Source organism: Homo sapiens, chromosome Y, assembly GCF_000001405.40.
Source record: "Homo sapiens chromosome Y, GRCh38.p14 Primary Assembly".
NCBI lineage: Eukaryota > Metazoa > Chordata > Mammalia > Primates > Hominidae > Homo > Homo sapiens.
The window spans coordinates 22721916-22731768 of NC_000024.10; the positions used below are offsets into that span (position 1 = coordinate 22721916).

Consider the following 9853-nt stretch of genomic DNA (forward strand, 5'->3'; position numbering starts at 1 on the left):
GTATCTTCCTAGCACCCACTGTGAATACCTCTCCTTCAAAAATCTATTGCTTGTGAAAAACCAGGTATGTTTAGCAAGTCATGAAACAACTGTAGTCATTCATTAGTGGTCACAGACTCACATTTAAGCATAACTTTAAAGGTTTCATAGACCTGACACTTATTGTTCTGAATCAACATTGATCTCATGAAGATGAACTGGAGGTTGAAAGCCTGCAATTACCCACCAGCTAGGTACACCATTATTAGCCATGATAAAAATGTGTCTGGGTTTTAATGTCAGGGCATATTGCCCACCTGAGAATGTAATAATCCTGAGAAATGACAGTTCCACTTCCATGTCTTTATAGTTCCCAAAACTCACTCAACCACATCAAGCACATACCAAACTATCCTTGGGTTTCAATGCTGACTTAGCAAACCAGTGGACTGAGAGAAATAACAATTCAAGTTAAAGATGAGTGCGGTGGACATTAAGCAATGTAACTTGTCAATCATAAGATCAGAAAATAGTGTGACAAGGACAACCTCCAGTAGACAGAACCAAAGTATTTGATTTTGACATCACCCATCTTAGAAAAATATCCTGATTTAGTTTCCATGAATATCTGATGTAATTTTACATAGCTTCTCACTGCAGTAAAACAAGTCAGGTAGATATGCTAGTCTTTTCCTTAAAAGTGTAAAGACTGGAAAACTCCAAAAAACCTGAAATACCAAAGCCTGAGCATGGTGGAACTGGCATGGGGGGTAAATCATTTAATTACTATTGAGCCTCAGGTTCCGCAACTCCTTTTTAATCCTCAAATCTTTTAGACACTATTTTTTTTCATAAAATCATACACTTCATAAGAATTATTCAAAATTTTTGGCTACATTATATACCAGCTTTGCCTGAAGTCAGATATAACCATGTGGTAAATTTTTGTCTGGTGCAATATATCAGAAAATGTTTGTGCCACTTCTGGGCTGTCCCTTTCAAAGGAGGAAACGGTCATTCCATTGTCCTTATAAATCATCTGGCTAACCAGAATGCGGTCATGACTGCAGGAGTTGGAACAGCCTTCTTGCACCATAAGATGCCTGTTGAGGATAACAGAACAACAAAATAGAGGGAATGTAGGTTTCTGAAAACTTTGAGGGTTTGAGTTACCACATCAGCTTAGAATTGCATAGAAGAGAAAAATTAACATCTGTCTCATTTAAAACTACAATGATATTTTAATAAAACACAACTCATTGATTCCACTGTTGCTACTATCCATAACACTATTGTGTGGGCAACCTTTACTACAGAATCAAATAAAGTTATCATGACAGGTTATCAGAAACCAGCTGAATCAGTATCTTGCCATCCCCATCTCATATTTGTCAACTTGGATGACAAACAGATAAATACTAGAATTTAAAATAAATCTCAAATTAAAATTTAACACAGTTTCATCTGAACCATGCCTAGGTTTTGGTTTTTGCTTTAATTCTCCATTCAGCAGTAAAAGAAAAGGGAATATTTCAATAATTATTATACAATTTATTATCTATATTACTTATTCTAATAATTTAATTTTAAAATAATTTAAGAACATGCATATTTATAAAATTATTAACTTTAAAACTTTGGTTTAACAAAAATATGTATTCTATGATATAGTTTTTGCTTAGAAATATACATTTATGTATTCATGCATATTGGTATAAATGTGTCAATGTATATCAAAGAAAACTCATGGAAGCTTACATAAGGACTTCTCAGTTACGCCCTCTAGGAGAGCAAATAAAGATGATAGGTGAATAACTTTTATTTTTTATTATATACTCATGTATTAATTAAACTTTTCAATGAGCATTGGTCTTTATCAGCAGCATGAAAAGAGTCTAATACAGTAAATTGTTACAAGGAGTGGGGAGCTGCTGAAAAGATACCTGAAAATGTGGAAGAGACTTTGAAACTGGGTAACAGGCAGATATTGGAACAGTTTGGAGGGCTCAGAAAAAGAGAGAAAATGTGGGAAAGTTTGGAACTTCCTAGAGACTTGTTGAATGGCTTCAACAAAAATACTGATAGTGATATGAACAATAGGTCCAGGCTCAGGTGGTCTCAGATGGAGAGGAGAAACTTGTTGGGAACTGCACCAAAGGTGACTCTTGCTATGCTTGAGCAAAGAGAATGGTATCATTTTGCCCCTGCCCGGCAGATGTGTGAAACTTTGAACTTGAGAGAGATGATACAGGAGAGCAGTCTCAGGGGGTATGCCTGCAGCTGCAGGAAGATATATGGGAACAGACACACAACTCTCTCTCCCAGATAAGCACAACAAAGAGACACAGAAACAGTCCAAGTCTCTGGTATACTCTTCCACCCTGAATCCTGAGAAACTCTTAGTGTGTAAGAGACTGTCTCTTGAACTAACTCGGCCAGAAAACACTCTCAGGTTTGTTTTCTTTAAAATCAGCCTGTCCTTGACTGCCAAGCCACCTTTTGTTTTTCTTTCCTCTTCCTTCATTTCTTACATTTGGTGCCAAAACCTGTGACTGGTGTTGGGAGAAGAGGCTGTCTTGCAACCCAGGAAGCAGTGGGCAATGGCAGCTCATCCTGAGTTAACTCCTGTATCCTAAAAGCCTCTGGCCACACGCCCAATCTTATCTCTCACTTCACTTTTCAAGTAATTTGTGTGAGCAGGACAACTAACTTGAAGGGGCTGTGAGGCTCAGGCTGAGGCTACTCCCCATGGGCTCTAAAACACTCAGGTCTCGGGAATCCACCTCTGACCACCTGCATTGGGTATTTTGCTCGCTAACCCTCCCTTGCCCCCTCTTTCTCCATCTTCTCTCTCTCTCTCTCTCTCTCTCTCTCTCTCTCTCTCTCTCTCTCTTCCTCAAATGGCTACAGTATGGGAGGCCCTTTGCCAATTCCAGCCAGAACATCCAACATCAGATACTATTTCAGATGACCGGTGAGATCTGCCTTCTCCTGGCTTTCTCTCTGTACCTGGCCTGCTGTCCAGGTCCTGGGAGGTCCAATCGGACTAATGGGGCTGGGCTAGAGGAAATATTGGTACACAGCTCCTTCTCAGGTTAACGGTCCTCTTTTGGAAAGAGGATTCTGGGTCTCTGTCTTTTATCTGGGGATGCCTAGAACAAAACAGACACCACCAGCTTCCTCTTAGCAGTCCACATGGGTGCCAAACAATTTCACGTCCCTACATCCTTCCCACTGGACTGCAGTATTAGCAACCAAGGCAAACTTGGCTTATGGCAGACCTTAATGCCAAAGCATTTAATTTTCTCCTGCAACATGGCCTTAACAACTTTACTACCAGAAATGGCAAATGACAAGAGATGTCCCCATATTCAGGCTTTCTTCTATCATCAATCCCACCCCTCCTCCTCCTCTACCTGTTCAAAAACTACTCTAACTGGTTAAACCTTCTCTGCCATTCTCCCTCTCTGGAAAGTGGCTAGGGTTAAAGGCAGTCCTTGCATTCATGCCCCCTTCTCCATGTCTAATTTGTGGCAAATTGAACAGCTTCTGGAACTTTTCTCGAAAAATCACTCTCATTATTGCAGGAAATTCCTGCACATAACCCAGTCTCTTAACTTGGCAGAACATTTACATAATTCTAATCTCCACCCTTACCTTTAATAAAAAACAGTGCTCAGCTTAATTAAAATGGATATCAAAGCTATAAGTATATTCAAAAGGGTTTTATGTTTTTCTCTTCATAAATCTTGTTTTCCTGAAAAAAGTTTTATCTCAGTCAAAATTACTTCTCTTCACTCTGTCTTGCAACTCTTGCTGCATGCATAAAAGACCCCAGTCTGGTGGCCTAGAACTCCCTAGAAAGATAGAAAACTTGCCAGAAATCCATCTTGAAAAAAATAACTCTTTTCCTTATGGAACCCCTGGAATTAAAGGTGAAGAAGTACCTCTCAAAAATCTTTATTTGTCTTCCAGCTATGCTTGTTTATTAGGCCCTAAAATTTGTTTACCTAGCCCTGCTCTTAAAGGGCCTCACCCAGAGGCCAATAATCTAATCTGGAAATTAGCAAATGGAAATTGTATGACTATTGAATCTTCTTCTGGTTGCCTGTGAGGCTATATATGTCTTACATATGTTATGTCTATTAAAAAGAACTCTAATGAATTAATTGTCCTAAGAAAAGAAAGTGCTTAAATCAAATATTTTTAAGGAAAATGCTAAGCAAAGTAACACTGTGTATACTGCCATTTTACTTTATTCTTCTGTTGAAGCAAAATTGTGAGGTCTCATTATGTGCGTGTGCTTTTGCTAGATGTCCCAGTTGGCTGTGCTGAGATGTACCAGTACTGTTTATGGTGTAAGTTTAAATTCTTAAGTATTTTCTCCTACCATTGTATTCCAAAACACACTAAGCTGTATTGCACAGTTCAAAATTTCGTTACTTAAGGGATCCATCTAGGCATTGTTCTTGGTCTTAAATTGAATAGCAAACACAGGACATGTCTGTTATCAGTATCTTAATTTTCAAAGGCTGTCCTTTGACATTTTAAACCATGACAACAGCTATTCACATTTGATGTTTATAAAAACAACATCTTTATTAATTTTATTATCAAGTATCATAAGCCATGTTTATCAAAATAAGTTTTTTGTTGTTTTTTTTTTTAAGACGGAGTCTGGCTCTGTCGCCTAGGCTGGAGTGCAGTGGCTCGATCTCAGCTCACTGCAAGCTCCGCTCCCTTGGTTCATGCCATTCTCCTGCCTCAGCCTCCGGAGTAGCTGGGAACACAGGCGCCCACCACTACACCCGGCTAATTTTTTTGTGTATTTAGTAGAGACGGGGTTTCACTGTGTTAGCCAGCATGGTCTCCATCTCCTGACCTCGTGATCCACCTGCCTCGGCCTCCCAAACTGCTGAGATTACAGGCGTGAGCCACCGCGCCCAGCCCAAAATAAGTTTATATCAAATCCGGCTTCCAGAAATGGTAGTAGTTAAGCACATCAATTTACCATGTAAATCATTCACTTGTACCAATGGGGAAAATTTATTGTTATTGTGCTTCACAGTGAAAACAAGAATAATCTTTCATTTTTAAAAATTAATTTAGGAAAGATTACATAACTTGGCCCTTTAGTATGTATACAGTAGCACTAGTTTATACACTACTTTTGCCACTGGGGAGTTTCAGTTAAAACATCCCTCAGTCATATAGCTATGGAATGCATCTTCCATTTATAATTTCTGCACTAATAATTAGTTTGGATCAAAGTTATTTTTATATATACTACAAAACAAAAGCAAACTAGTCCACCTTAAATTTTTATGTTTAGAATTTTCTATATGTAAATCATTCAGATTAGTATCTATGTAGGTTCAGTCAAATCCAACCACGGATTTGAGTTATTATACTATATAACCCTGTAAGATACATAGAAATGTTGTTACTTTGCCTTTATAACAGAACCAAAGTGTCTGTTTCAATTTATAAATTCAGCATTTGAGTAACTTTGATTCCCAAAATTAGGAGAAAATAACAAAATAATGAGAAGGAGGAACCAGGCCTTAGTGCCACATATAGTGGTTGTAAGGTAGAGTCTCCTTCTTTCCAGAATGCTTTATTGTATTTTACTTATTATATATATTATATATATAATATAGTATATATAATATACTATAGTATATTATATAGACCTGACTGTCTGTGTCAAAGTATAATTCGCATGCTGAAGTTCTAGCTTAAAGTGGCAAAAGAAAGTTGTCTTCATTAAATATATTCATGACTTTAACAAGATAATAAGGGAACAATATTTAGGATTCAAGCTCAGTAAGAATACTCTTTCAATGAACATGTCCCTAAGATAACCAGAATTAGCAGTTAATTTATGCATCTGGAAAACTTCAGTTCCCACCAGTAAAAATAGTCTGAGTGGCTAGTGCACTTTGAGAAAATTCTGGCATACTAAATAAATAATGTACATGTGGGACCCAGGAGCTGGGTAAGCCTGCCTTTAGACAACTCTGTGACTACAAAAACAAAGCCAGCACTTTTGGAACTGATAAGGCTGTACTTAATCAGTATCATAAAGAGCATTGCACAGCTGAACTTTGCTTCCACTGGTTCAGTGGTTACTTATTTCTACCTAAGCACTCAGTCTTTACTAAAAAAAAAAATAAAATAAAAGATTTATATTTGAGAGCTACTTCACTTAAATTACAAAATCAGTCAATGTTTTTAGTTCCAAGTTACAGTAAAGAAAAAAATGCATTGTTCCCTTCAGAGACTTGTCTGGGTGTTTTAGTTATGCATAAGTAATTCTAGCAAAGGAAGGGTAGAAAAGAGATGAAAATTAATTTACATACTTGCTACTTGGGAATAAAGGGCTTTTTGAGGGGGGTTATGGATATTAAATGATTTAATTGTATTCTTATCCCTATCAATACAGGCAGTAGTTTTCTTTGAGTATGCTTAAATAACTGTATTTCTAAAATCTAAGAAGTTCCAATGAGGCAGGAAATTAAAGAAAAATAAAATTAAAAAGAAAGAGAAATAAGTTTTCCTGTATTAGTCTGACTTGTCCCAGAGGCAGCAACAGGCACAGCCCAGACCCAGGAAAAGTCTTGATAATATAATCTAATGTGTACCGCAGACTCTTCCAGCACACCCTCAACGCAGGGAGAAGAAAAACAAATTTTCCTTTGTTTCATGGAATGAGTTTGTAGATTGTTGTTCTCTGTAACTAGTGACTTCAAGTACTCTGTTTTATCTAAGAAGTACAATGAAGGTCATGAGAAACCTGTGTAGGCTTGAACTATAGCTGCGTGGGCACTATAGTGAAGGTTATAGGATAAGCCCGTGCCCAGACAAATCTAGGTAACAGACATCTGGGTTGCCTTGGCAATGGTCATGTGCAATACTGTCTTTGCCCTGCCTCTGTATCCCTGCTTTCATGCCACCATAAGCTTGCTTTAAGCTAGCCCACCCCCTTTCGTGAAGTGTATATAAAAATCAGATTCTGTCTTTGTTCCGGGCCCAGTCTTTTGGACATTGAGTCAGCTGGGCCTAAGTGCACGCAATAAATATTCTCTTGTTTCACCCCGAGGTCTCACTCATCCTTCTGAGTCCTGCAACACCATGTCAATTACTTGACATTCCTGGTCCGCAATACCACAGGCCACTCTTCACATCACGTGCTTGCCTGGATGAAGCTCCTCATTTCAAACAGTGTATATATTTCTGTGTGGTTTATTATAGTAAGGCCAGAACATATGGAAGTAACCATGCCCCTAACTATGCTGGAAGAAGTCAAGCTTCACCTGCATCTAGCACATAATTCAAAAAGAAATGAAAATATGGCCAGGTGCAGCGGCTCATGCTTGTAATCCCAGCACTTTGGGAGCCTGAGGTGGGCAGATCACAAGGTCAAGAAATCAAGACAATCCTGGAAAACATGGTGAAACCTCCTCCCTACTAAAAATACAATAATTAGCTGGGTGTGGTGGCAGGCGTCTGTAATCCAAGCTACTCAGGAGGCTGAGGCAGCAGAATCGCTTGTATCCAAGAAGTGGAGGTTGCAGTGAGCCGAGATCCAGTTACCACACTCTAGCCTGATGAGAGAGCAAGACTCTGTCTCAAAAAGAAAACAAAACAAAACAAAATAAAAAACACGTAATAGGCTTTACATTAAAGTTAAAAATTGCTAAAAATTACCGTTATAACAGGTAATTAAAACTGCTAAACATGGATTTGCATAAAAGTGTATAAAAATGGTAAAAAGTGGTTTTAGTTAAAAATTATAAGGCATAACTATGTATTTTGCTTAAGAATAAAAAAGTTGTCTTAAAGTTAAATAAAATAAAGTCGACTGTTTAAGAAAATTGTGAAAACATTGTAAATTATAATCCTATAAAGAAAACTCTGTGTGTAAACATATTAACTAATCTCGAAAGGGTAGAACGTCTGGAAAAAATGGTAAGCATGATTATTTAACATGTTTAGGTACATAAAATTGCCAAAATAGTGTCTGATAGGTTATATTTTAGGGTATAATATTATAACATGTTCCAAAGCTGTATGCCATGTCTAAGGTTCTAGTGTCTAAATATGTGTTATTAATCACAATTAAAGTTGTTATGCTGGGTTATTGTGAACCACAATGACCAAATTTCTTTGTCAACTATGTTTCTGACTGTATCCAAACTGGACATTTTGGTATTTACAGACAATGGTTACTTTGTTTAAATTCTCTTCAAAAGATGGTTTATTACCAAGCTGTAAAACTTTAACAGTTGCTCTCAAAGGAGGGTTTTCACAACAACAACAACAAACAACAACAGAACTACAGAAGACATGAAAAGCTAAAATGGTTATAAATATCAACCAAAACAAAATGGATTAAAGTAACAAAAAACACAAACAAGTTTTTATCCTTTTGCTTAGAACACTGCTAATCTGTGTCTTATGTTTCAGAGTTAAGAAAACTTGCCTTAAGCTAGCTACAGCCTTTAACAACTAAGTAAAGCATATTTCTGTAAATGGAAATTAAAATTGGTTTGCTTCTCTCTCCCTAGTTCCTCTATAATTTGAAAACTAGTTATAAGTATTCTTAAACTACAGCAATATTGTTGTTTGCATCAGTGCAATAAGAATGTATTTTCTTTTGTAAGAAAACACAGTTGGAAAAGATGGTTATTTTACCAAGGCTTTGACAGGAATGGTATGCTCTCCTTTAGTGAATAAAACTTAACTTATGAAGCCAATAAAGCCCTTGGAAAACTGGTCTCATATTTTGTGTACACAGTCCTTGTATAAGGTTTCTGATCTGTGGTAAGTATAGAATGTCACTTTCTGACAGGCCAGGAAATGCATGTTATCTTAAAACCTCAAGAGGAGAGGAATTCACCCAACTCATAGGTATTTAATGATAGAAATCCATGGCTGGGCTGGGCCTTAAAAAGTCTCATCTCAAATTCCTTCTATAACACAAAATTCCATCAAAGCTGACTTAAAAGTCATGTGTAGCAAATACTTATTTTTGGTGCACTGTATAAAACTAATTAAGCCAAGTATAATAAAGGAAAGCTGTCCTACCATGATTTTTCTTTTAATAAAAATGGGAAATTGAAGAGAGAAAATTATGTTTCAAAAACTATAGCGCACCTGTTGCTAAATTCTAGTCTGCCTAATGTTTTTCAATTTTTATTATTTTCTACAGTTTAAATTATATTCATTACAGAAATCAACTCCTAGATACTACACACTCAAGTCAAAGCTGAAAGAGCTGAGAAAGCAGCTCCTAGCAGCCCATTAAAAACATCCTAAATATCAACGTAAAAAAAAGAAATTTTAAGCTGAAAATAATAAAATATAAGTAATTAAGTGAAAATTACTCATCTTAGTCCCAACGCTACTTTACCAAGTACTTTTTATCAATCCTACCTGTCCTTTAAGCCAGATATTAACTTTTTTTTTTTTTTTTTTTTTTTGAGATGGAGCCTCGCTCTGTCACCCAGGCTGGAGTGCATGTTGTACTATGTGCAGTAGGAATATATACTGTAGTACCCTAAGGGTGAAATATCAAACAAAGAATCTCAATTACTGTAGCATTTTGTTTAATTATTATCATCATAGCAAATCTAACAGTTACTAATAAAACAATAACACATGGGTCTTTCCAAACATGTTCCTCTGCGTGTCATTGGGAAAGAAATGTTGCTTTTGTCTCAACCAATCAGGCCTAATATGAAACACTGCTGAAAAACCTAGGACTAATGTTCTTACCCTGCCTCAGTAACCTTTTCCAAAACCTTTTAACCAACAGAATCATGGCCATTTCACAGACAGCTACCCAAAAATATCTATGGACAGTGTTGCT

General features: G+C 36.9%; 1 pseudogene; it reads left to right on the plus strand.

The window, feature by feature from the left end:
- On the plus strand, positions 4093-7339 carry FAM8A10P (family with sequence similarity 8 member A10, pseudogene; annotated as a pseudogene).